Source organism: Homo sapiens, chromosome 18, assembly GCF_000001405.40.
Source record: "Homo sapiens chromosome 18, GRCh38.p14 Primary Assembly".
Lineage (NCBI taxonomy): Eukaryota > Metazoa > Chordata > Mammalia > Primates > Hominidae > Homo > Homo sapiens.
The window spans coordinates 11,839,003-11,866,234 of NC_000018.10; the positions used below are offsets into that span (position 1 = coordinate 11,839,003).

A 27,232-nucleotide genomic window follows, 5' to 3' on the forward strand; every position below is an offset into this window, starting at 1 on the left:
TATATCACTACTTCATTCCTTTCAATAGTTGAACCACATGAATGAACAACTAAATCTAACCAAATTTTGTAAACTGTTCATTATGATGGGCTAACTGACATGAAATTATTGTGTACCACTGTGCCTAGAACAATGCCTGGCATATAATAGGTGTTTAATAAACTTGTTACATGAATAGATTTTTGTGTTATCACTGTTCTTTTTCTGCTCTCTCTACCATTCATAGCCCAGTATTCCTATGTATACAAAATTAATTTTTGGCTGGGTACAGTGGCTCACGCCTGTAATCTCAACACTTTGGGAGGCCAAGGCAGGAGGATCACTTGAGCCTAGGAGTTTGAGAGCAGCCTGGGCATCTTGGCGAGACCTCATCTCTACTAAAAGTAAAAAAAAAAAAAAATTAGCTGGGCCATGGTGGTGTGCACCTGTGGTCCCAGCTCCTTGATATGGTGAAAGCGGGAGGATTGCTTGAGTCTAGAGTTTGAGGCTGCAGTAAGCCATGATCAAGTCACTGCACTCCAGCCTGGGTGGCAGAGCAAGACCTTGCCTCAAAAAAAAAAAAAAAAATTTTTTTTCTTTAAAGCTCAGATAGACGTAAGCATAATATCTCTTCATAGCAGCATTATTCACAATTGGGCAAAAAGTGGAAACAACCCAAGTGTCATCAGCTGACAAATGGATAAACAAAATGTGGTGTATCCCTACAATGGAATATGATTCCACCGCAAAAAGGAATGAGGAGCTGAACTGTGCTACAGCACAGCCTCCTTTAGAGCACAAGCGTTCTAGCTCAGAGAAAAGCGAAAGCTGTAATCGTGCATTGTGTGAGCACTTCCTTCGTCCCAGTGAACAATAATAATGTGTTCACAATATCAAGGAATGTAATGAAAGCTTTTCAAATAGAACTTAAGGTATAAGGAAGCTGCTCTTTGATAATTTCATATCAAAGAAAGCATTCAAAAAAGGAAGAAAGTAAAACCTTTCTTAGGGTAGTGCATGCATTAGCGGTTAGAATTAAATATCTTTATTTCACCAAACTCCCTTGATCACATAATAACTAGGATCCATGATATCAACAAAAGCTACCTTTGAACTATGGCATTATTCTATTAACTGACTTAAGGAACTCTCCACACAAATAGAATTTCCATTTACTTACAATTTTATTCATGTGACAACAATTAAGTGCATGGGATGCTCGTATTTCTCATTCTATTCGATATTTGTGAAAATGCAGTGCTCTGCATTATTTCTGTGAAGAAAGAATGAAAGATTCCTTATCCAGCTACTGAGGCAGGTAGTCATTGCTAAGAAAGAAACTGCTTTGCCATGACTTTCTGCCAGGATACATGCAGTGACTAAATATATCTTCTAAGATAGACAAGACTTAACAGATCGTTTTGCCAAAAAAGGAAATTTTTTATTAACCTCAATTGAACATGTTTAATGACATCCCAGATCTCTTTTAAAATAGGAGACTCAGCAGAGGTGAACACTGATGCAAAGGTCAGTTTCTCATTCCAGCTCTTCCTTTGAAACATAGTGTGACCTGAGCAAATCTGTGTGTTTGGTATCTGGGGCACCCCCTCTGAGAAAGCTCTTTATCTAGGAGTCCTCAGACTTCCCTTTGTTACCCTTTGTTGACCACGTGCTTCTCATAGTTAGCGTTCTTCCCTGGAATGATCTACAGGAGACCTGGTGGACGTATTCGGGAATGCTGTGACAGATTCAGTCAATGTACACAGTCATAGCTGCAGAGAAGAGGAAGCACCCGGAGGCCTCCAGTGAGCAAGAGCCATGTTGAATGCACTTTGTCCTTCTTTCTTTGATTTAGTTCACGTAAATGACATTGAGGAATTTGCTTTTTCTTTTCTTTTTTTTTTTTTTTTTGAGACACAGTCTCACTCTGTCGCCCAGACTGGAGTCAGTGCTACGATCACAGCTCACTGCGGCCTGGACCTCCCAGGCTCAAGTGACCTCCCACCTCAGCCACCTGAATAGCCAAGATCACAGATGTGCACCACGATGCCCAGCTAATTTTTTGTATTTTTAGTAGAGACGAGGTTTCGCCGTGTTGCCCAGGCTGGTCTTGAACTCCTGGGCTCAAGCAACCTGCCCACCTCGGCCTCCCAAAGTGTTAGGATTACAGGCATGAACCACCGCACCCAGCCTTCATCAGCTTTCAATTCTCTTTTAACCCCTAAACTAATCTTAAAATACACTGTCTCCTACAAATATGTTAAGATTTACTATGAAGTATTGTTTTTCAGATGGCAGTCACAGCTACAATTTATTATATTTAGGGCAAGGTTAATCATGATTATTTGAAGACAGCTTTGTGGTTCCCGGAAAAGATATACCTGCTAGGGCCGGGCACGGTGGCCTATAATCCCAGCACTTTCGGAGGCCAAGTTGGGCAGATCACCTGGGGTCAGGAGTTCAAGACCAGCCTGGCCAAAATGGTGAAACCCTGCCTTTACTAAAAATACAAAAATTAGTCGGGCATGGTGACGCATGCTGTAATCCCAGCTACTCTGGAGGCTAAGGCAGGAGAATCGCTTGAACCTGGGAGGCAGAGGTTGCAGTGAGCCAATATCCTGCCACTGCACTTCAGCCTGGGCAACAGAGTAAGGGTCTGTCTCAAAAAAAAAAAAAAAAAAGAAAGAAAGAAAGAAATACCTGCTAGAATTCCTCATTCATCAGATTTATGGAGGAAGCTCTGTGAGCACCTCTGCTTCCCAACTGCGGGGATCCTTCCATGAGAAGAAATTCTGGGGAAGATAAAAACCTCTGCTTTATGGAATGTTACAAATGCATCAGGTTTGCATAGGGAATTACTTACCTATCCCCCATACTGTTCATTCTCTAGCCTGAAACTCAGTAAATGTTTGTGGAATATACGTATGAACTGGAAGATTGTAGCCCAACTCCATCAAATAACGAAAGAAAACATATGTTATATTTTAGTTCAGATTTTTTTTTTTTTTGAGACGGAGTTTCGCTGTTGTTGCCCAGGCTGAAGTGCAATGGTGCAATCTCGACTCACCTCAACCTTCGCCTCCCGGGTTCAAGCAATTCTCCTGCCTCAGCCTCCCGAGTAGCTGGGATTACAGGCATGTGCTATCATGCCCAGTTAATTTTGTATATGTTTTTTTTTTAGTAGAGACAGGGTTTCTCCATGTTGGTCAGGCTGGTCTCGAATTCCCGACCTCAGGTGATACACCTGCCTTGGCCTCCCAAATTGCTGGGATTACAGGCATGAGCCACCGCGCTCGGCCTAGTTCAGATATCTTATATCTAATGACTTGGTGTAGCGGCCCCCAGCCTTTTTGGCACCAGGGACTGGTTTCGTGGAAAACTATTTTTCCATGGACCGTGGTGGGGTGGATGGTTTCAAGATGAATCCAGTGCATTACGTTTACTGTGCTCTTCTATTACGATTACGTTGTAATATATAATGAAATAATTATATAACTCACCATAATGTAGAATCAGTGGGACCCCTGAGCTTGTTTTCCTGCAACTAGATGGTCCCATCTGGGGGTGATGGGAGACAGTGACAGATCATCAGGCATTCGATTCTCATAAGGAGCATGCAACCTAGATCCCTCACATGCAAAGTTTACAATAGGGTTCGTGCTCCTATGAGAATCTAATGCCATCGCTGATATGACAGGAGGTGGAGCTCAAGTGGTAATGCGATTGATGGGGAACAGCTGTAAATACAGATGACGTTTTGCTTGCTGGCTGGCACTCACCTCCTGCTGTGTGGCCTGGTTCACACAGCATGAGAATGTGGCCTAGGGTTTGGAGACCCCTGACTTAGTTCATACTCATTGTAAAGTTAGCACTTCTTTTAAAAACATTCATCTTTGGCCTTCTTTCAACTGTTGACTATTTGATTGTTGACTGTTTCACTGTTGAGTGACTTTAGGGTGTTGACTGTTTCAGAAGAAACTGAATGCTATTATGGTACATTATAAAGGTACAAAAGTGATAAGTATTCTGCTTTGTTAGAGGATTTTTCACATTCTAAAGAGATGTTAAGGCCAGGCACAGTGGCTCATGCCTGTAATCTCAACATGTTGGGAGGCCAAGGTGAAAAGATCCCTTGAGCCCAGGAGTTTGAGGCTACATTGGACTATGATTGTGCCACTGTACTGCAGCTGAACAACAAAGCAAGACCCTGTCGCTAAAAAAAAAAAGAAAAAAGGGGCTGGGTGTGGTGGCTCACGCCTGTAATCCTAGCACTTTGGGAGGCCAAGGTGGGTGGATCACCTGAGGTCAGGAATTCAAGACCAGCCTGACCAATATGGTTTCACCTACTAAAAATAGAAAATATGTAAAATTTTTTACTACTAAAAATACAAAAATTAGCGGAGAGTGGTGGTGCACACCTGTAATCCCAGCTACTCAGGAGGCTGAGGCAGGATAATCACTTGAAGCAGGGAGGTGGAGGTTGCAGTGAGCTGAGATCGCACCACTGCACTCCAGCCTGGGCGACAGAGCAAGACTCTGTCTCAAAAATAAATAAATAGATAAGAAGAAAAGAAAAAAAGGAAAGAAATAAAGAGATGTTAAAAATAAATTATTTCTAGTAGGACTCACCAAGTTAAGTTATATTTGATTTCTAATACCATTTTGCTTCCTAACGAAAGACAGTAGCTTAAACTAACAAAATCGTTATGTCACCAGGCACAGTGGCTCACACCTGTAATCCCAGCACTTTGGGAGGCCGAGGTGGGCAGATCACCTGAGGTCGGGAGTTTGAGACCAGCCTGACTAACATGGATAAACCCCATCTCTACTAAAAATACAAAATTAGCAGGGCATGGTGGTGCATGCCTGTAATCCCAGCTACTTGGGAGGCTGAGGCAGGAGAATCGCTTGAACCTGGGAGGCAGAGGTTTCAGTGAGCCGAGATTGTGCCATTGCACTCCAGCCTGGGCAACGGGAGTGAAACTCCATCTCAAAAAAAAACAAAAAACTTTATGTTTTGGCCGAAAAGTTTAATTACAGTTATTCCTTGACGAAAAGAAATGGCCAAGATTAGCCTTCCATGGACACTAATGGCTAATGACTCCTTACTTTACATGAAGTGTGTGGGTTAGACTAGAATTGAAGGGATTTTAAATTGAAAGGTTCTCAGGGCCGGGCACAGTGGCTCACGCCTGTAATCCCAGCACTTTGAGAGGCCGAGGCAGGCAGATCACCTGAGGTCAGGAGTTTGAGGCCAGCCTGGCCAACACAGTGAAACCCTGTCTCTACTAAAAATGCAAAAATTAGCTGGGCGTGGTGGCGGGCGCCTGTAGTCCCAGCTACTCAGGAGGCTGAGGCAGGAGAATCGCTTGAACCCGGGAAGCAGAGGTTGCAGTGAGCCGAGATCACACCACTGCACTCCAACCTGGGTGACAAGAGCGAAACTCTATCTCAAAATAAATAAATAAATAGGTTCTCAGGATACATGGTTCCTGGAACCAGTGCTCTCCATTCTGTGGCCATGGCCGTTTTAAATCACTTGTGCCTTAAACTTAATCTAATTGAGACATGATGCTAAGTAAAAGCTGGGTCTAAGGCAGATCAATCACAGCATCAATTAAGGGTACGAGTGAGTCAGCTGCACACACATGTCCCCGGGAACAGCAGTGAAGAAGAAAAATGCTTTTTCCCTCCACCACCATCTACCAATACTCAATGCAGACTAGCCCTGGGAAGAGCTCCTGACTTCTCACAATCTGTTCCCATCATGAACAGAAGGTGCTCCCCGAGGAGGACGAGAGAAGATTTTAATGTGCAACAAAATTAACTGGCCAATTTGTACATTCGCCATTTTTATTTTTTATTTATTTATTTTTTGATTTATTTTATTTTATTTTATTTGAGATGGAGTTTCACTCTTGTTGCCCAGGCTGGAGTGCAATGATGTGATCTTGGCTCACTGCAACCTCCGCCTCCTGGGTTCAAGCGGTTCTCCTGCCTCAGCCTCCCAAGTAGCTGGGACTACAGGCATGTGCCACCACACCCGGCTGATTTTTGTATTTTTAGTAAAGACAGGGTTTCACCATGTTAGCCAGGCTGGTCTCAATCTCCTGACCTTGTGATCCGCCCACCTCAGCCTCCCAAAGTGCTGGGATTACAGATGTGAGCCACCACGCCCAGCCTCGCTATTTTTAACTTATAGATTGTAAGCTTAATGTTCAGGTTAAACATAAAAATTACGTAAGAACAACTGGCTTCCATATTCCTTCAGAGGTGGGATTTGTACCGTATTACGCCAGACGCAATCCTGTCCTTCTATCTTCAGGTTTGTAATAGTAAAATCATTTTCCATCCAGAAGCATGTTTTCAGAATAAACTATGTTTCCCAGTAGTCAACCAGACAGCTGTGAGATATGGCAAAATGCTGTGTGCAGGAGAGTGCACTTTTCTTGAAAATAAAAAAAAAAGTAGCATAATAAAGACTGCTAACAAATAATAAGAACACAGATTGGAAAGAGGAATATATCGTGTGTTTCATAGACCTAACAATATTTCACGTGTTTGGTTCCCTGCCATATTGCTTGAGTTTGTACGTTAGTTTGTAGGAACCTGACCAAAGGAGTAGATTTTCCTCCTACAAAATGCTCTCCAACTAGAGGAGTCAGAGAGAAATGGGCCCAGTTGAGGCAGAGGTAGCTTGCGCCACTCCGGGTAACAGAGTGACACCCTGAAGGAAAGAAATAAAGGAAGGAAGGGAGGGAGGGAGAGAGGGAAGGAAGGAAGAGAAAAGAGAGAGAGAGAGAGAGAAAGAGAGAGGGAGGGAGAGGGGGAGAGAGACAGAGAGAGAAGGGGCCCAGTCAGCCTTCTCAGTTTTGCTGTGTCAGCTCTATATGGTCTTCACAATATTTGCAAATATCCAATACAAACTGCCAGGAAAACGCCACTTAAATAATACATTTTTTTCTCTTAGTAAGTCTTGTTTCAGGGATTTTTTAAGTTAAGCGGTTTTGAGTGGCCCTCTCTGGTGATCTGACCTGATGAGGGATTATTACCCACTGTTAGATCATAGGCCTTATTTTTTCCAGCTTTATAAATGAGGAAATTGAGGCCAGAAAAGAGAGGCATCCCGTACCAGCCTTAGAGGGACAGGTGTGTTGAGATTTCATTTTCAGCTTCTCAAAGTGGTAAGTTGTTCAGTGTAAAGAAGGAGGAGGAGAATCACTGTGTTGCTAAATGAGTGAATGCCAACTTCGACTAACATGGAAGTTAGGTTTCTCATAACAGTATTAACTCACCACATCACCAAGAGGAATAATAAACCGTGCATTTAAACTGCAGATGGAGGAATGCAGAATTCTGTTTACATGCTGCTGTTCTATTTCTTTCTCTTTCTTATTTTTATTTTTAAATCGACATCATTTTTTTATATATAAATATATAAATACATATATAAATATATAAATATAAATATATATATAAATATACACACACACACACACACACACACACACAGACTCACTCTGTCAGCCAGGCTGGAATACAGTGGCATGATTATAGCTCATTGTAGTCTCGAACTCCTGGACACAGAGATCCTCCCACCTCAGCATCCCAAGTAGCTGGGACTACAGGCACATGCTACCATGCCCAGCTAATTTTTATTTTTTATTTTTTGTAGAGACCGGGTCTTGCCATCTTGTCCAGGCTGTTGTTAACATATTTTGAGGGACAGTGACTTTGGTTTTGTTTTGTTGTTGTTGTTTTTGAGACAGGATCTTGTTCTGTCACCCCGAATGGAGTGCAGTGGGGCCATCATAGCCCACTGCAACCTCAAACTCCTGGGCCGCCTCATCCTCCCAAAGTGTTGTGATTACAGGCATCGGCCATCACACCCAGCCCTGGACAGTGACTTTGAAATTTCCCAAGGCTTGAGGAGTCTCAGCGTTTTTAATTCTAGCTGTGTTCCCAAATAAAAAGGTGATGCAGAGGAAAATATATATATACATACATTTAATACATGTGTAATAAATTAATATTATATATGTATGTAATGTATAATATATATATACATATATGTAATGTATTCCTCAAAATGGTCACCAAGTGAATATGTATCCAATGCCATTTCCTTTGGCTACATTCATATATTCCTACATTCAACAGAAATTTATTGGGTATCTGTTTTCCAGAGGTTGAATAGTACCAGGTATAGGTAGTCAACCAGAGGTCACCATGCCACACCTAATAGGAAAGCCTGCTGCTCAGCAAACACAAATATATGCAAAAAATGCAAACTGTGATAAGTAGGAGGAGCCCTTAGTTTGAGATATAACATTTCAAAATCACCAGAAACATACTGATGAGAATCCAGAAATAGTTTAACTCACAAGAGAAAGTTATTTTTCACATCTTTTATTTTCTTTTTTTTTTTTTTGAGTGACTTCAGACTTAGCAAATGATTCTTTTCCAGTGAAGTAAAACTGAATGTCCTGCTTAAATATTTTCATTTTAACCACTTGTATTATTTCAAAGTAAGGAAAGAAATCAGCCAGATGTGCCAAATGATAGCATATTTTTCTTCCCCATTTCATGATAAAAATAATTAACTGGTTTGACCCGCAGCTTTCTAGAAATGTCTGCACTTTAATCAAAAATTTCTTTTTTTTTCACTAAGAAAATTTGGCTATGGGACTTGCAAGGTTTCAATGTTAACGTGGTAGTTGCTAAACAATTCCAGTCATTATAAACTGTATGTTCTGTTTTCACATCTGTATTGGGTCCAAAACATTTTCACGTACAATTAGCATGGTTGTAGGACCAAAACCTCCTTTAATAATAATCCCAAAATAATCTTCCTTTTGCTAGATACACAAAAAGAGAAAGCATACCAAGCTGAAACAGACCCTGAAGGTTGTCAACCTCAATGGAATATAAAGAATGGAAAAAACTTAGAGCCAGGGTAGATGCAGATTCAGATACCACGGTGGTCAGAGATAATTCTTCCAAATCCAACTCGAATGACAAGGTAGATGGAGGTGCCAGTAGTAAATGGGAATGAGCAGATTTGGGGGAAAGGACTGAGTTCAGTCACTTTGAGGAGTTGCCAATCAGTCTTGGGCCACAGAGCGCCCAGCACCAAGGAGACAGCTGGGCATATGGGTTTGGAGCTCAGAAGCAAATCTCTCCGTGGAAATGTGAACATGAGAGCAGTTAGCTATGGATCCTATTGAACACCGTGGAAATGGCTGGGGTGTTGATAAGAGAAAGAAGAGGGCAGGGCTGGGGAACTGTCAGGGAGAGGAGGAGAACAGCCTTCTCTTCAGAATTCTAGTCAGCCCTGGTCTCTCTGGGAAGATGGCTTCTGGAACTCCACCTATACCTTCTCTCCAGCACAGAAAGTAGAGGTGTCATCATCCAAGGAATGTAGCTTCAGGTGATGGCAACTTCTTTTAGCAACCATACTTTTTCTTTTTTTTTCTTTTCTTTTTTTTTTTTTGAGAAGGAGTCTCTCTCTGTCACCCAGGCTGTAGTGCACTGGCGTGATCTCAGCTCACTGCAACCTCCACCTTTCCAGTTCAAGCGATTCTCCTGTCTCAGCCTTCCAAGTGGCTGGGATTACAGGCATGCACCACCACACCCAGCTAATTTTTGTATTTTTAGTAGAGACGGGCTTTCCCCATGTTGGCCAGGCTGGTCTTGAACCCCTGGCCTCAAGCGATCCACCCACCTCAGCCCCCCAAAGTGCTAGGATTACATTCCTGAGCCACCATGCCCAGTCAACAACCACACTTTATAAAGTTCATATTAACTTTGCAGTCAATGCAACTCTGTCTTCTCAAAAAAACAGCTGGAAAGTCAACTTCTTTCTTTAGGCTACATGATGATCATTATTTTATTCTTATTAATTCATGTTCATTGGATTCCCCATTGCCTTATTACTGGTCCCAATACATCCATGGAATCCGGTTTCTAACACTTACCTAATGTGTGGGTTCAGGCAAGTTTCTTAGCTCTCTGTGCTTCCTTTTCATTACCTGTGAACTGGAGACATTTATAGTATCTACTTCATAGGGTTTGCGAAGCTGAAATGAGTTAATTTATGTAAAGTGCCCAGAACAATGTCTGGTGCATAAGTACTTTATTAATGTTAGTTGTCATTATCATCATCATCTATCGGAGTCTCTCATGATTATATTCCAAACCATCTCACCTAGTCAGAATTTGTCATTAAGAAAACTATGGGCTGGGCACGGTGGCCCACGCCTATAATCCCAGCACTTTGGAATGCCAAGGTGGGCAGATCAACTGAGGTCAGGAGTTCGAGGCCAGCCTGACCAACATGGCGAAACCCCAGCTGTACTGAAAATACAAAAATTAGCCGGTAGTGCTGGCGTGTGCCTGTAATCTCAGCTACTCGGGAGACTGAGGCAGGAGAATCGCGTGAACCCAGAAGGGGGAGGCTGCAGTGAGCCAAGATCACACTACTGCACTCCAGCCTGAGTGACAAAGCAAGATTTCATCTCAAAAAAAAAAAAAAAAAAAAGAAAGAAAAGAAAAAAGAAAACTATGGAGCATGACATGGAAGCTGGATAAGAAACTTGTTTGCAAACTCCAAGAAAAACCAGGACCTAAAAGAAGGGAAGAGTGGAATGGAGGGTGAGCAGAGTAGGGGGCCTAAGCTCTCTATATCCACTTTGAACAGATTTCTTCCCCTTTTTTTTGGTTGTTTATATTCCATTTCTAGAAAAGTTTCATTTGGAAAAAGGGTTCTACTGCTTTGCGGGGCAAAAAGGAACCATAGCTAAGCTGCTAACTAGGGTAACATCCTATCCCCTCTGAAATACAATTAAATTCAGCAACGCCATCTGGATTCAGTGGCTGCTGTGTGCAGAGCGCCTGCTGGGCTCCATGGAGAGGGGAAGGAATCAGTGTCTGCATCCAAGTAGTTCACACTGTAACAGGTGACCTATACACACAGACCCCTTGCCAGGCAATGTGCCCTGTAGTATGGCCACACAGAGGAGGAGTCCTGGGGAGGCTCCATGGTGAAGGTGGCTTTTGAAGGACTGGCAGGGTGTCAATAGGCAGAGATGCATGGACACTAAAATCCAGGCAACAGGAACAGCATAGCCACAGGACCGGGCGTCAGTCACATTCTCCCCGCTGGCCGAATGACGCAAATAATGCTCAAATTCCATGCTGCGGTTTGCTTTGACTGGCGGAGGTGGAGGGGCGCGAAAGACGAGCCAGCATGCTGCACAGCAGGTTTAGCCTCCATGCCCGGGGTTTGGAGCAAGAGAGTGAAAACATCAGAGCTATGTCTTCAGAAGGTCTTGTGTTGTGAAACTGACTGGCAAGCTATCACAGGAAGCTAAGCGAGGTGGCAGGCTGCTAGATTAAAATGATCTCTAAACAGAATTCGCTCTCAGAGTTCATTTTCAGCCTACCTCATTAGGGCAGATTTGGTCTTCTCACATTGTTATTGCTGTATCGGAGGAATCTTTCTAAAGAGAAAAGTGACAGCACACATTGCTGCCATTTGAAAGCCAGCATTTTTAAAGGGCGTAATACATAGTGACAGTTTTGATGTATGCCCGTGGGTGTGGGTCCTGATATCTCAACATACTCTGCCTGCATAATTTAAAATGACAGTTTAGCCTGTCAAACTTAAATGTGAGTGAAGTTCCTTGGATATTTATAAAACATCAAAAAGACAGAATGGTGTCAGCAAAAGATGGGTCTTTTTATTACTAAACCACGGGACGATTTTTGGATAATTGCTGGCAACTCACCTAGAAGCTGAACTTCCAGACAAAGTATAAATTTGGTGGTGCCACAGTTTTGAAGATTATTTTCACTCAATGCAATAAAAGGATATTACAGAACTCTAGCACAAATTGTAGTCAAAGATGGAGACGCGTCAATGACCCGTTTGTTTTTAATGTGTTTTAATGTTTTTGTTTTTAATGTATCCATGGTTTCCAGTTCCCCTGAGAAAGTGGAAATTACCCATGCTAATAAAGCAAGCGTTAGTGCGAAGACCTAGCTGATGTTTGGCTGGTTTTTAGCCCGCTAGCCAGTCACCCTTTATAAAGCCTGCCAAGTTTGGAGCGTGGGTAATTTTACACGCGGGTCTCCACAGATCCTGTCTACTTCGGTAGATTTATTACTAGGAAAGTGCGTGGGGGCACTAATTTTTGTGAATTGACTAATGCGTTAGAATTTTAAAAACCGGGTAGAACGCAGCGCAGGAAGCGAGCGTTCCCCGCCGCAGCGCCGGAGCGTCCAGCCAGAATCCCCCTGCATGCGCAGCCCCTGGCGTCTTACGTCCCACAGGCCCCACCCCGGCGCCTTCCGTCCCGCAGGCTCCGCCTTTGGCGCTGGGCTCTGACGTCACCACCTGCGCCGCTCACAGTAGAAACAGGAAGTGGGACCAAAACAAAGGAGCGGCGGCCGGGAGCGGACTTACCTTACCTTCTCTGCCTTCGGCGCGCTTCTCAGCCGGGCCGCCGACCCAAAGGAGCCGTCCGACTATGTCTAACATGGAGAAACACCTGTTCAACCTGAAGTTCGCGGCCAAAGAACTGAGTAGGAGTGCCAAAAAATGCGATAAGGAGGAAAAGGCCGAAAAGGCCAAAATTAAAAAGGCCATTCAGAAGGGCAACATGGAAGTTGCGAGGATACACGCCGAAAATGCCATCCGCCAGAAGAACCAGGCGGTGAATTTCTTGAGAATGAGTGCGCGAGTCGATGCAGTGGCTGCCAGGGTCCAGACGGCGGTGACGATGGGCAAGGTGACCAAGTCGATGGCTGGTGTGGTTAAGTCGATGGATGCGACATTGAAGACCATGAATCTGGAGAAGATTTCTGCTTTGATGGACAAATTCGAGCACCAGTTTGAGACTCTGGACGTCCAGACGCAGCAAATGGAAGACACGATGAGCAGCACGACGACGCTCACCACTCCCCAGAACCAAGTGGATATGCTGCTCCAGGAAATGGCAGATGAGGCGGGCCTCGACCTCAACATGGAGCTGCCGCAGGGCCAGACCGGCTCCGTGGGCACGAGCGTGGCTTCGGCGGAGCAGGATGAACTGTCTCAGAGACTGGCCCGCCTTCGGGATCAAGTGTGACGGCAGAACCCGCTCTGAGGTTTCCTGGCCATAGCCACCCTTTGAAATGCTCTCTGTGTGTTAGAGAGATACTATACCCTAGAAACTCTGAACACGCCAGAATGCTGAAATGCCCTTCTACCTTTGGGTTTACAGCCCCCTCCACATAAATTAAGAAATTCAGTATTTCTGCACTCTTAGCTGGATTCTAAAGTTCTGTATAGCTCGTAATGATGGTATTTTTATAGCAGCCTTTTAACAGAACTAGTTAATTTCGTGTATATGAATCTTTCTCGAAGATCTGGTCAAAACTGTATTCAGTTTCCTGCCCAGAATGATCAGATTGAAGGTGGTTGGTTTTTATTATTATTTAGTGTGATTGATAGTATCTAGAATGGCAGGTGGTGCATAAAAGTTAAAGAGAGGGGAAAGATTACTTAGTTTGGTTATACAGTTATAAACACCATGCAGTGTATTCGGTGGACTGTGCTATTTCTGTTTATCCTTTGGGTTTTGGTTTTTGTTTTTTTTTTTTTTGCCTTCACAGTGAGACTGCAAATGATTGTTCTCATAACGTATATTATTAATAAATGTGGTCCTATAATTTATACTGAAATTACCTTAGGATATTTTTGCATAATACTCTCTTACTGCTTACATTCTATAAATTTTTCACGTGATAATTGTCTTTGCGTAACTGGGAAAAATGCCGAATAACTTCCTTTATTATCTGGAAAAATTAAATTTGTTCATTTATATTTTCTACTTACTAAATTGAGTTTTTAAAAAGACTTAGTGTGACATTTGACAGTGTCTTTCAAACGAACTTCTCTAACAAGTTTATAGTTATTTTCCTGTTTCAACACTATTAGAAGTCTTATAAATTATGCTAATTAGCATGGCAGTCATGTTACACACTCTTAACATTGCCAAAGAACTGTTGATTTCGTTTGAGAAAACCCTAGGACTGTGTGTGTGTAGGTTTTGTTTTGATTTTAACAACCAAAAATAGAAATAAAATTAGAACTGCGTTTTAAGTTCTAATTTGCATTTATTAATTTGTCCAAAAGCAAGAACTCTTGGAAATCCTTGAAAATATAAGCTGGAATGTTTTACTTAGCCATGCAAGTCATTTATGTATACATCCAGCCAGCTGGAAATCTGAGAAGTAAAGAGGTAGGACTGGAAGGAAGGAGAAAGCTTGAGTCTTTAAGGCTAGAGCCCAGCTGTGCTGCCTGCCATCTTCTCAGGAATGGCAGTGCGTATTTTCTGGCTGAAAAGTAAAGCATGTATCCACCGCTTTCTCATAGCCTCGAAACATGGAGAAAAGCAACTTGCTTTTGCCTTGGCAAGCATGCTAACCTAAGTTAATTCAAGTTTTTTTTAACTTACCCTTTCCTTCACTGGAAGATTTTTCCATAAGAGAATTCCATTGTTTCAGAAAATAATTATAGGGGCCCTTCCAAGTTCTTTGAAAGATTCATAACCAACTATTCACTATTATAACATGTTTCCCAGTGTAAATGAGTAAGGAAAAAAAAAGTGTAACAGGTGCGTGCAGATGAGGAGTGACCCTCATATTTAAGTTATTTTATATTTGACTGGACATTGTTCAGAAGTGTGCTTTAAGGGACACTTGTTAGTTGTCTGCCCAGCATCTCTCAAGAATATCCCTCCTGTCCTCCACATGGTTGTGCAGGGCCATGTGTGAAGACAGCATGAGTCTTAACCCCTCTTTTATTTTATTTTTGAGACAGAGTCTCGCTCTGTTGCCCAGGCTGGAGTGCTGTGGCGCGATCTCTGCTCACTGCAACCTCCACCTCCCGGGTTCAAGTGATTCTCCTGCCTCAGCCTGCCGAGTAGCTGGAATTACAGGTGTGCACCACCATGCCCAGCTAGTTTTTTTGTATTTTTAGTAGAGACAGGGTTTCACTATGTTGGCCAGGCTGGTCTTGAACTCCTGACCTCAGGTGATCCGCCCACCTCAGCCTCCCAAAGTGCTGGGATTACAGGCATGAGCCACTGCACCTGGCCTTAACCCCTCTTTAGATTGGAAAAAATAATTACAACTTTAAAAATAGCTTAGTGTTGAACCCTTTGGTAAACTAAAGACCCTTTTATAATGCACATATTCCCAACAAAATTAATATATTTTGTGAGATTAAACAATGCTTGTATATGCTTGAACTTTCTTAAAATATGTCCATGTCATACTATTATGAATGTACATTTTTATGAGTCATAAATATTATTTTCAAAAGCACTACAGGCCCATGAATTACTTCCTCACTTTTGCAGTTGATTACTGAAATGTAAATCACAAGAATTTGTCAATTAAATCATTTTAAACTGCATGTTATTGGATGTGAGTGTGCATCCTGTTTTAAAAAACACTTAAGAAAAAAGAATTGCGGGGCACAGTGGCTCACGCCTGTAATCCCAGCACTTTGGGAGGCTGAGGTGGGCAGATCACCTGAGGTCAGGAGTTTGAGACTAGCCTGACCAACATGGAGAAACCCCGCCTCTACTAAAAATATGAAATTAGCTGGGCGTGGTGCTGCACACCTGTAATCTCAGCTACTCAGGAGGCTGAGGCAGGAGAATTGCTTGAACCTGGGAGGCGGAGGTTGAGGTGAGCCAAGATTGCGCCATTGCACTCTAGCCTGCGCAACAAGGATGAAACTCAGTCTCAAAAAAAGGAAAAAAAAAAATTCTGAGGTAGATTTGGGTCAGAAAGCATGATATTTTTCCAAATTCACCCTCAGTCTTAGCACTTAAATTTTTGTTTGGTTAGTATGGCTTTTTCTTGCATATTTCTAGGATCCCTGGCTTATTTTTGTTGTTGCTGTTTTGAGACGGAGTCTCACTGTCGCCCAGGCTGAAGTGCCACCACGATCTCGGCTCACTGCTGCCTCCACCTCCCAGGTTCTAGCGATCCTCCTGCCTCAGCCCCCTGAGTAGCTGGGACTACAGATGCGCACCAACACACCTGGCTAATTTTTGTTTTTGTTGTTGTTGTTGTTGTTTTAGTAGAGTCGGGGTTTCACCATGTTGGCCAGGCTTGTCTCGGACTCCTGACCCTCAAGTGATCCGCCTGCCTCGGCCTCCCAAAGTGCTGGGATTACAGGCGTGAGCCACCGCGCCCGGTCCCCTGGCTTCTTCACTGTAATTGTTTCTTCATAACTACAAGATTTTTTTTCACATTGAAACTTCCCTACACCAAAGATGGATATAATTTACAAAAGTATCCAACTGAAACACATCAGGGAACTAGTTAACTAGTTAATCTTCCATTTAACTACTAGTTATATTTCTTCCTTTCATTTTTCCGCCTTCAAGTGCACAATTTCTAACATGGATTTAGGATTGAAAGAAAAAAGGTAGACTGGATTAATTCACAAAATACTTTCCTCTACTTTTAGTTTATTTCAGTTCAGGAACCCAGATGATACTGTGTGTGCTGCTGGGGAATTTTCTTACTAAAGCTGTTTCTTGCTGAAGGAATGCCAATGTATCTAGATGCCTTTTAAATACAGGCAGACCATGAGGTTTGGACACTGTGTGCCCGCCCTGCTGTCTTTGATTTGGAAAAGACTGCTGGGCCAGGTGCAGTGGCTCACGCCTGTAATCCCAACACTTTGGGAGGCCGAGGCAGGCAGATCATCTGAGGTTGGAAGTTCGAGACCAGCCTGACCAACATGAAGAAACCCCGTCTCTACTAAAAATACAAAATTAGCCGGGCATGGTGGCACATGCCTGTAATCCCAGCTACTTGGGAGGCTGAGGCAGGAGAATTGCTTAAACCCGGGAGGTGGAGGTTGCGGTGAGCCGAGATCGCGCCATTGCACTCCAGCCTGGGCAACAAGAGCGAAACTCCATCTCAAAAAAAAAAAAGTGCTGAAAATAAGCACCAGTCTGATAAGAGAACCTTATTAACTGAGCATAGTATCAGCATCAGCTGGCCAAGCACACTATAAAGCAGAAGGGAGGGACTTCCTCTGCAAAAACACAACATCCTCTTGGCAATTCTGTAGCCAAAGTCCAAAGCTCAAGATCTTTATAGCAAAAAGCTGCAAGCCAGTGGACACTAAGGAAACTGATGAGCAGACCCCTGTTTTTGTTTTTGTGTTGAATCAACTGACTGGAATTAGCAAAATGCTGTCTGGTTTACCTAGGTTTGTTTTTCTACATTAGATTGCAAATTCCATAGGGAGCCCGGGCCAGGCAATGTCTGTCATAGTGTCAGTCTCTGGGCCTGGTGTGGTGCCTCCCACAGTGGGCTCCTTGCACTGCATAGCAAACGTGTGCCTGGCCTGGGTGGTCACTCCTGATAGTGCCTCGAGCTTTCTGATGACAGCAGACAGGCAGGTAAAGCAGGCACCCTAAGCGCACAGAGTCCCAAGTATGGACACTCAAGAGCTGTGTCCTCTTCCTTCACAGCATTTGTCCACAATGAAATGTTTGCCTCTGTTCTTCAGGGTTTGTACATCCTCTCCCTGCTGAGAAATGCCAGGACAAACAATTCAGCAGTGTTTACTCAAAATGACAATACAGGTGGGGCGTGGTGGCTCACACCTGTAATCCCAGCACTTTGGGAGGCCGAGGTGGGCAGATCACCTGAGGTCAGGAGTTCGAGACCAGCCTGGCCAACAGGGTGAAACCCCGTCTCTACTAAAAATGCAAAAAAATAATTAGCCAGGCATGATGGTGCACACCTGTAATCCCAGCTACTTCGGGAGGCTGAGACAGGAGACTCCCTTGAACCCAGGAGGGGGAAGTTGCTGTGAGCCATGATTGTGCCACTGCACTCCAGCCTGGGTGACAGAGTGAGACTGTCTCAAAAAAATAAAAATAAATAGTTTTTTAAATTTAAAAACGTTTTAAATGACAATCCAGGGAAAGATTTAGTCCAAAACATGCATGCCATGTGGGGCTTCTTTCTAGAGATGAGAACATGCTTCTGCCCTTAAATGATATTCAGTACAGATAGGTAGATAAAACATACAAAGAAAAAGAAAAATGGACAAGGCGTACCCAGATGTTAAAAAAAAAAATCAAGAACACTTAAGATCAGGACTGTTTACACAGTTTATGTTATTTTATACCTCAACCTTTAAAAAGGATTAAATCACAGTATAAGGCAGCATGCCATGCTCACCAAATTGTGAAACAGTAAGTGCCGGAGGAAAGGGATATTGTGCTGTGTCATGGCAGTTAGAAGTGGCTTCCCAGAGCCAGCAGGGTTTAATCTCAGGTTTCAAAGGGGGAAAAAAAGCAGGAATGACACAGGATCTGAGAGGCCAAAAACTACAGGGAGTTTTGACTGGAGTGGAGGGTTCACGTGATGTTAAAAGAGACTGAAGGGGAGACTGGACAGACTGCAAAGGGCTGGAGGCCACATTAAAAGTGTGGACTTTACCCCATGGGAAGGAGGAAGCGCAGGAGTCATGAGAAATGATGGTTCAGGCAGAGATTAGAGCATAAAGCAGGGAGGTGGGGAAAGCCAAGAGGAACACGCTCTTGGATGACGAGTCACCATGAATCACTGATCACCTGGGACATGGTTCAGCTGCACATGCTGACGCAGTGGGTCTGCCAGTGACGCCGATATGCTGCGAGTCTGGGAACCCCTTTTAAGGAGCAGGGAATCTTAACTCTGGCTGTGCATTACAACTGCCTGGTACTTTGTCACCACGTGAGTAATGTTTTTCTCCACCAGTACGAACTCCTGGGCTCCAGTGATCCTGCTGCCTCAGCCTCCTGAGTATCTGGGATCCATCTATATTTTTATGTCTTGTAGATAAATATCATGAGTCAAATTTCATTAACATTGGGAAAAGTTTTTTACTTGCCTTGACAGATTTCCAATTGCTATATGTTTTCACACACAAAAAATTTTAAATACATGGAAATTCAGTTGGTACTTTTTTTCTCAGATCCAGTAGTTTGATTACAAAGGCATTTAACAGAATAGTTTTCATCTTTTCATGACTCTCCTTGTTCCTCTTCATGATCAATTCCATGGCCATAAGAATTCTTTGACGCCAACAACAGATGGGATATAAACAGTGCATTGTTACTTTTGCTAATATCAAACAGAAGGGGGATCTAAATGAAAATGAAAACATTTCTGCAAACATGAGTGTCCTCAGCTGTCACAGGAAATAATGAAAAAAAAATCAGAGTAAATTTCTTTTTAACTACTTCCTTATAGTGTCTACAATGCAAGTGATTTTTTACAATGCTAATTTGGTATAGTTTTGCACCTCTGCATCTAATAGTTGGAGTGAATAGTCTGCAAGGGATTTTTAGATCTGCTTAATTCTTCTGGTCAGCATGCAGTGGCATATTTAAGGAGGCAATGTTATAACCCTTTAAAATGTAATCATATGCAAAATTCTATGTATGATTTGGGAGACCCCTTTAAAATTCTCTCTATGTATGTAATCACAGAAGCCCCAATTTGAAAAAGTACTCCTGCAACATGCTTGGAAATATGCCAGTTGAAACAAGGATCAAGGCAGAAGGCTGGCAGAAATCTACCACTCTATTATTTATTCCTTAGAAAGTCTTTCAAAGAATTGGGGGCATATTCACATTTTGGGGTGAATATTCACATTTTATTTTCATTGCACAAACTTGAAATGCATGAACTCGGTACCATTCAGCATCAGCAACAAATCAGAAGCAGCTCTTGGAAATGTTCAATGAGACCTCCCACGTCTCACTTAGATCTCTGAGAATCAGAGCTGGAAGGACTCTGAATATCCATTTTGGAGGTTGGCGACAGGAGAAGACCCACCAGCCTCATCACTGTCAGCATCTCAAAGTCACTGGTCTTTCATAGTGCACAGGAAGATGCACTCACACGTCCTCTCATCACATCTCTCTAGCACTCCAGAGGCATTTTTTGGTTAACCATACTTCATTCTTTCTACTTAGACTAGTTATTATCATCTGAATACATTCACCACCTACCTCCAACCTATGTGCATCCCATTTTAAATAGGTTACTTCCTAAACTCTAACTATAGCCACAGGCTTCATATTTAATTTTCAGTTCCTTCCAGCTCTTTTCATCAGAGCGAATTCATTTCTGTATCCTTTGCTCTGGACCCTGTCAAAAGTTGCGACCATTTCTGATTACAACTGTTGTAGCCTGTGAGGGAAGCAGCCTTCTCACCCAGAAACCCATCTGACTGTCCAGCCCCAGTTCAGAGCTCCCGTCCCACCCCGGCAGAAACTTCTCCTACCTTCTCATGGATTCCAAGGTCTTTTTGCTCCTTTGTTGCTGGATGGTCAGGAACTCAGTGTGTCCTTCCACCACGCTCTTCACCCCACCACATTCCAGGCCAGCAACCACCATGCCAAAACTGCATTGTACTTTCCAAACCAGGCCTCAGGCAATGGCAGGGAATTCCTGCCTCCAGGCTCCCAAGTCTCTCCAGCTCCCAGAGGGTCCCTTCCCTTTGTTCCTTCCCCTCTGGAGCCAGCTCCACACCCTTGGCCAACTCACCAACCTTCTGGTGCGCAGTAGCACCTCCCAGAGCTTGCAGCACCTATTCCAAAGACACCACTGGCTGATCAGGGTCCCTTTGGCCTCTCAATAGCCCTGTCACCTGGGCCATACCTCTGCAGAGCCAGGAGCAGTTGACATTCTTTTTTTTTTTTTTGAGACGGAGTCTCACTCTATCGCCCAGGCTGGAGTGCAGTGGTGTGATCTCGGCTCACTACAACCTCTGCCTCCCGGGTTCAAGCGATTCTCCTGCCTCAGCCTCCCAAGTAGCTGGGATTACAGGCATGCGTGCCACCACACCTGGCTAATTTTTGTAGTTTTCGTAGAGACAGGGTTTCACAATGTTGGCTAGGTTGGTCTCAAACTCCTGACCTCAGGCGATCCACCCACCTCCACCTCCCAAAGTGCTGGGATTAAAGGCGTGCACCACTGCACCTGGCTAACATTCTTTAATGACTGCACACCAGACAATGCAGTCACAGACACCACTCCCATAGCCTGTTTCCCTTGGCTTCCAGGGAAATGACTCATTCATGACAGTTGAGGTCACAGTTGCCCCCACTGTTTCCTATCGCTATGAAAGGCCATCCCAAACACCAGCAGATCCACTCCTGCCCCTTTGTGTATTCTGCTTCTGGGTTACTTGCCCTGGGGGTGCCAAACCCAAGTTCATGGGTGAAGGCTGCCAAAATGTCATCCCATGGCCATGCCTCAGTTTTGGCCACTAGGGACTGTCTCTAGCTTTCCAAAAGGAAGGAGTTAAGATGTCCAAGGAAATTATGTAGTCTTACTGTCTTTGGCCAAGTGGTTCCTAAAATGGACCCCTTTTGACCTCTGTAGGGAAGGAAAAAGAACTTCCCTCTTTCCCATTAGGTTCTGTAGCTGAGTGAACTAACAAAGACGGATTAACAGGAGGAAAGCATACACATTTTATTTAATATTTTTACATGCACACGGGAACTTTCATAAGAAAAATGAAGACCCAAAGAAGCTGTTAGGACCGAGAGCTAATATACCCTTTTAACAAAAGATGATAAATTTATGGAGAAGTGACACAGGAGAAAGGTTCAAGTTTCTAGGGGCAGTCATTGTGGGGCAGTGACTAATGAAAGACAAGGGTTATTTTGGTGGGTTTGTACAGATCAGTTTCAGGGTGGACTCCGAACCCCTGGTGATAAGAACATTCTCCTCTTCCTGGTACAGGGCAGGCACGTTTCTTAGGGAAGATTTCATGACCTGCTTTTTGGGACAGAGCGGGAGGTCAGCCAGCCAGCCAGCCTTGCAGCTGAGGCTTCTCAAGTGCCTTCAGCTACAATTAGTCAACATGCTGAAGGGCTCATTGTGGGGTGGCGTTTTGTGTTCTGAACCGTTTCGTCTCCCTCTTGCCCACACTGAGGTTCACAGGCGCCTGCAGAGGAGCTGGTGTGGGAGGATGGGGAGATTGGGAGGCAACATCGCCTCCTCTGCATGAAATGCTCATGGGCACATGTCTGCTGCCTCTACCTACCAAAGGACAGAACCAGCCAACTGGCATGGCAGGCAGGGAGCCAGCGCAGCCTCCAGGCCGTCCATCCTCTCTCCTCAGTACCAGGGCCTCCCGTCAACGCCAGCACCAACAGAGAGCCTGGGCCCCCCCGACCCCTCCCTCCTGCTGGCTCTCCTTCTTCCTTCTAGGGTCCCTGCTGCCCCTCTGTCTCCAGAATTGTCCCCTGCTTGCCATTTAACCCATTCCCAGTGCTTGTTGGTCCCCGAGGGACCCAGCCTCTCAGCCCTCAATGGTCACCTGTCCCAGCCGCGGAAGGAGAAGGGGACAGAGGACACTGGTTCATTCCACCATATTTACTGGGGCCAGGCCTGCACTAGGTGCTGGGGACTCCCAGGTGGACAAGACAGAGACCTGCCCTGAGGGCCTAACATGTTAGTGGAGAAGATAAATAACAACAGATCAACCAAGAGTCAGTGGGAAACGTGCAGCCTGGATAGATGCCTTGGTAAAGCCAGGCTGGCACAGAGAGGGCGGGGGAGGCCTGTGCAGGGGCCGTGGTCACTCAGGAGAGGGAGCTCGGCGGCCTCCCAGCTCCCTCTCGGAAGGGTCATCACCCAAGAGCGGCGCACAGCCTTCCTTGGCTCCCATCCTGCCTTGTGTGGGACACAGTGGGCGCCAGGCAGATCTGACACCAACAGGCGTCGCCAGGTTTGCCAGCACACACACTCAAATATGCACACTCACGTTCTCGCTCTCGCACACTTTCCGCACATACTCTCACACTCACCCTTACACTTTTACACATTTACTCTTGCACACCACATACTCGCTCTCCACACTCAGTCGCTCTTACACATATTCACGCAGTCATACACACACACACACACACACACACACAACATCTGGATTTGATTAGGAAACTAAAGGGACATCTGTCACCTTCCATGTTTTGTTTACATTGCAACACATTCTTGTACTCGCTTAGCCTTGGACGGGAGGCTCCATGCTCTCTCCCAGTTTCTGAGTAGCTCCCACCCCCAGCGCTGTGGCAGTGGAGAAGAGAGGGGAGAGAAGGCAACATTAAAAAAAAGAAAAAAAAAGAATGCAGTTCTCCCTCCCTGGGTCAAGAATGTTGCATTATCTAGACAGATACAAATTCAGGAAACAAAGTAAGAACTCACTTCAGCTTCTTGGCCTGCCCCCATCCTTGCTGTACTTGGGTGATGTCCCATTAATTTCTCCCCAACCCCAGGGGAAAGTGGGCAGAGAACAGGCCTCAACCCTTGCTGGCTTTCTTTGCAGCTTCCTGGAAAGAATCGACAGCGTCAGCTTGGTTGACTACACACCCACAGACCAGGTATGTGGAATTAGGGTCCCCCACCACACACCAGAAACTTTGAGATTCATTTCCAATATGATTTAATGATTATTTCAGAATGAATTAAGGAAAAATCCTTAAGATACCTACTTTTTGCAAATTGTTTGTACTGCCCTGTGTGTGTGCGTGGATTGGTCATCAAACCTTGTGCCTTGCTCCCCTGACTCTAGCACTTAGTGATTATCAAAATTGCCAGCATGCAAATGAGTTTATCTGCAGATAAGGAATATGCCGTTCCTTTTCCTCCTGGAGCTGTCCTCAGGAAAGCGAAGTCTTTACTTCCTGGCTTCATAAACTATGCCCATTCTGTTTGTGGCCCTGGGCCTGGGGGGTCCCATATCACAGTGAACTTTCCAGGTGTGACCCAGAGCATCCCCTTTGGGTTGAGTCAAAAAAAAAGCACTCCACCATTTTTTTTTTTTTTTTGAAATGGAGTCTTGCTCTGTCGCCCAGACTGGAGTGCTATGTTGCAATCTCTGCTCACTGCAACCTCTGCCTCCCAAGTTCAAGCGATTCTCCTGCCTCAGCCTTCCAAGTAGCTGGGATTACAGGTGCTTGCCACCTCGCCCAGCTAATTTTTGTATTTTTAGTGGAGACAGGGTTTTGCCATGTTGGCCAGACTGGTCTCAAACTCCTGACCTCAAGTGATACACCTGCCTTGGCCTCCCAAAATGCTGGGATTACAGGCGTGAGCCACCGTGCCCAGCCCACTCCACCAATTCTTAAATAGCAGAGAGGGAATCTTTGTGCCCCTTCGACCCTCGGGCAGCTGCAGAGACTTGGAGAGCCCCCGGATTGCTCAATTCAGGAGACTTCAGGTGCTTCTAGAGCCAGTGAACCCCAAGGAAGTTAGAGGGATGTCTCTGTTCAAACCACACTCTCCAAACTTCCCCCAGAGTCTGTATTCCCTGCAAGGCCTTGGCCCTGGGCCCCCAAGGTGGGAGGTCTGAGGCCTGAGCTTCTCTCTCTCCCATGAAGTTTATCCTCTCTAAGGCTGATCCTGAGAGTTTGAAATTATCTGACAAAGCAATGGAGGCTTCCTCGTCTTGAGTCAGTCCCTCAACTAACTTACCTGTCCTAAACAGTTCTCGTTATACTAAAATGGGAGGACCACCTCCCATGTTCCAGAATTATTACAGAATGGCTGCTTCCTTAAAATCACATGGATTTGGGGGTCAGGAAAAAAAAAAACTCTGACATCTGCCAAATGTACCAGGGATGCCAGCTTTGTGAGGCTGCGTGGCTTTCTCGTCCCCTCGGGGTACCACATCTTTTATCTTGGAGGAAACAGAAATGTGCAGGGAAGAGAGAATAAATGAAATCAACTAGCATCCAGTTCATAAGGCTGAAGACTTGTGAGTGCAGAGTTACACTTCCTTTGGTTTCTCACCCAAGCCATCGTGAGTTTCACCCAAGCCAACAGAGCACCAGCAGGGATGTCCCTCTGGAATGCTGATGCCCTGACTGTGGTTGTCAGGTATATGTTAGTAAGATTCTTGCAGACATGATTTTAAGTCTTAAAACAAAAGCACAGTTATCAGGTCTCTTGGGGCCAAACCAACACATTAACTGTGGCTTTCTCTGGAGGATAAAACAGAGAACATTCGTCTGAGTTCTTTTTTTTTTTTTTTTTTTGAGACGGAGTCTCACTCGTCACCCAGGCTGGAATGCAATGGCGCGATCTCAGCTCCCTGCAACTTCTGCCTCTTGGGTTCAAGCGATTCTCCTGCCTCAGCTTCCCAAGTAGCTGGGATTACAGCTGCCTGTGACCACACCTGGCTAATTTGGTTTTTTTGTATTTTTAGTAGAGATAGGGTTTCACCGTGTTGGCCAGGCTGGTCTCAACTCCTGACCTCAGGTGATCTGCCCACCTCAGCCTCCCAAAGTGCTGGGATTACAGGCGTGAGTCACCATGCTCGGCCAATGTTGGTTCTTAATTGTTGTTTCCTTTACAGTGGAACAAATTATTTGAAAAATATTGATGAGGTATAGTTATACCCGGGCTTTACCTTGAAGAAGAACAGTAATGTAACTCAGCTTGTTTCCCTCTTCTTGTTCCCAGGACCTCCTCAGATGCAGAGTTCTGACATCTGGGATTTTTGAGACACGATTCCAAGTGGACAAAGTAAACTTCCAGTGAGTATGTTGTTAAGAGCTGCATGGCCCAGGGCCACATGATGTCCCAGAGCCGAAGGGCTGTGAGGTTTAAGGGGGCTTCATTCCTGAATGTGCATGGCAGCCCTTTCAGGTAAGAGCAGCTGGGGTGAAATTTGAACTCTAGCAAGAGTTGAAGTGTTGATTTTACTGCCTACTTTAAAGTAGAAATGAGGACACCTGAAAGGAAGGCAGTGTTTGCATCTGAGTTGTTGATTTGATTGGCCCTTTTTTTTAGATCAGGAGACTCATGAAATTTTGATCTTTCAGATGCACAGTCACAGGTTGAGAACTGAAATGAGCAGTTTATGTGTGTCTCCAGCCCATCTCTTGGGTTGCCCAACTGCAAACTCAGCCAAATGAGCTTACTTTCTTCATTTTGCTCCCTCATGATAAGACATTAATTCTCCCTCCACAAAGCTCTTTTCCATCCTCATAGCTATCACCCTAGTCCTGCTCCATCACTTCCCCCGCCCCTAGACTCTCTCGGCACAGCCCTGGCTTGTCTCCTGTCCCCTGGCTTACCCATTTCAGTCGCCCTTCTCAGTGCCACGAAATGAATCTTCCTACGGCACGGCCTGGATCGTGCTGTTCCTCTGCTGAAGAAGGTTCGGGGCTCACTACTGCTTGTGCACCGTATGACCCAAGCCCTCTGCCTATGACCAGCCCCGTCCCCAGGCCTGCTTTGTCCCCTGCCACCTGCCTCACCAGGCTGGGCTGTTGTCAGGACCCTTCCAGTTCTCCCAGCTTTTCCTGCCGTAGCGCTTCTGTTCATCTTGTCCTCTGAGCCTCAGATGCCACCTGTGCTAAGCAAACCCCACAAATCTATCAAAGCTTCCTTCAGGCCAGGCATAGTGATTCACGCCTGTAATCTCAGCACTTTGGGAGGCAAAGGCAGTAGGATTGCTTGAGACCGGGTGTTCAAGACCAGCCTGGGCAACATAGCAAGACCCTGTCTCTACCAAAAAAAAAAAAAAAAAATTAGCCAAGCTTGATGGCATACACCTGTGGTCCTAGCTACTCAGGAGGCTGAGGTGGGAGGATCTCTTAAGCCCAGGAATTCAAGGCTGCAGTGGGCCATGATTAGGCCATTTCACTCCAGCCTGGGTGACAGAGTAAGACCCTGTCTCTAAAAAAAAAAAAAAAAAAAAAGCATCCAAGCATCCCTCAAATCTCAGCCCATGGTGACCCCTTAGAATTCCCATTGCATATCTACTATGCAGCCATTGATGGTATACTGCCCTTTACCTTGCCCAGTCACCCTCAGCATGTCTGACTCGACTCTAAGGGACCTCAAGGGTGAGGTCCCTTAAAGCAAGAGTTTCATGATCTCCAGTGTGTTCTGAGACTCCTGCAGTGCCCAGCGCCCTCCTCAGTGCACAGGTGACAGACACCTACTTCCAGATTTCCCAAGAACCCTTCACATGGCCACTGTCAGGCTGGATAAAAGCCAGCTACATCTCTCTGCTGGGAGGCGCACAGTGCAGTATGGAGTTGGCGTGACTTGTGGTTTTGCCCACATCATAACCAAGTCCCTGGCATAGTGGAATTACTAACAATGAAGCTGTATCTCACATCTGTGATTTTGTTTGAAAGGATTCTGCTCATCA

At 44.8% G+C, this 27,232-nt stretch overlaps 2 protein-coding genes and 1 long non-coding RNA gene across 7 annotated transcripts in view, besides 6 other annotated features; 2 read left to right on the plus strand and 1 right to left on the minus strand.

Annotated features, from left to right (window-relative positions):
* GNAL (G protein subunit alpha L) overlaps positions 1-27,232 on the plus strand; it is a 196,422-nt gene that overhangs the window by 149,739 nt on the left and 19,451 nt on the right. For 4 of the 5 annotated variants that reach the window (NM_182978.4, NM_001261443.2, NM_001142339.3 and 1 more), the window contains 2 exons: positions 23,393-23,447; positions 25,531-25,604. In NM_182978.4, coding sequence (NP_892023.1) covers positions 23,393-23,447; positions 25,531-25,604 — 129 coding nt within the window. Of the gene's footprint in view, positions 1-18,750; positions 18,784-23,392; positions 23,448-25,530; positions 25,605-27,232 lie in introns of those variants that run through there. The other variant, NM_001261444.2, reaches the window with a different exon arrangement.
* Positions 12,264-12,503: an enhancer, noted in NCBI's record as "active region_13095". NCBI's record gives its function as "activates an Ori minimal core promoter by ATAC-STARR-seq in GM12878 lymphoblastoid cells {active_cell/tissue: GM12878}" and the evidence as "EXISTENCE:reporter gene assay evidence [ECO:0000049][PMID:35858748]".
* Positions 12,411-15,442, plus strand: CHMP1B (charged multivesicular body protein 1B). The gene has a single exon (NM_020412.5). It carries the CDS (start codon positions 12,510-12,512, stop codon positions 13,107-13,109), a length of 600 nt encoding a protein of 199 aa, NP_065145.2. The 5' UTR covers positions 12,411-12,509; the 3' UTR covers positions 13,110-15,442.
* Positions 12,772-12,821: an enhancer, noted in NCBI's record as "active region_13096". NCBI's record gives its function as "activates an Ori minimal core promoter by ATAC-STARR-seq in GM12878 lymphoblastoid cells {active_cell/tissue: GM12878}" and the evidence as "EXISTENCE:reporter gene assay evidence [ECO:0000049][PMID:35858748]".
* Positions 12,828-13,122: a silencer, noted in NCBI's record as "tiled region #95; K562 Repressive DNase unmatched - State 1:Tss". NCBI's record gives its function as "represses a minimal TATA promoter and a strong SV40 promoter by Sharpr-MPRA in K562 cells {active_cell/tissue: K562}" and the evidence as "EXISTENCE:reporter gene assay evidence [ECO:0000049][PMID:27701403]".
* Positions 17,861-19,060: an enhancer, noted in NCBI's record as "P300/CBP strongly-dependent group 1 enhancer chr18:11856862-11858061 (GRCh37/hg19 assembly coordinates)". NCBI's record gives its function as "activates an origin of replication core promoter dependent on BRD2, BRD4, P300/CBP, MED14 and CDK7 cofactors, with strong dependence on P300/CBP, by STARR-seq in HCT116 cells {active_cell/tissue: HCT116}" and the evidence as "EXISTENCE:reporter gene assay evidence [ECO:0000049][PMID:35650434]".
* Positions 18,068-18,625: an enhancer, noted in NCBI's record as "H3K27ac hESC enhancer chr18:11857069-11857626 (GRCh37/hg19 assembly coordinates)". NCBI's record gives its function as "activates a minimal SCP1, AML or CMV promoter by ChIP-STARR-seq in primed H9 embryonic stem cells {active_cell/tissue: H9 hESC(primed)}" and the evidence as "EXISTENCE:reporter gene assay evidence [ECO:0000049][PMID:30033119]".
* LOC124904251 (uncharacterized) lies at positions 18,159-21,509 on the minus strand. Its single transcript, XR_007066297.1, has 2 exons — positions 20,342-21,509; positions 18,159-19,124 (listed from the first exon to the last, which is right to left on the minus strand). It is a non-coding gene; the product is annotated as an uncharacterized LOC124904251 (long non-coding RNA).
* Positions 22,343-23,249: an enhancer, noted in NCBI's record as "H3K27ac-H3K4me1 hESC enhancer chr18:11861344-11862250 (GRCh37/hg19 assembly coordinates)". NCBI's record gives its function as "activates a minimal SCP1, AML or CMV promoter by ChIP-STARR-seq in naive H9 embryonic stem cells {active_cell/tissue: H9 hESC(naive)}" and the evidence as "EXISTENCE:reporter gene assay evidence [ECO:0000049][PMID:30033119]".

What these genes read in the sequence shown, in the direction of transcription:
- CHMP1B (NM_020412.5), top strand. Translation starts at nt 12,510, where the DNA reads ATGTCTAACATGGAGAAACACCTGTTCAACCTGAAGTTCGCGGCCAAA.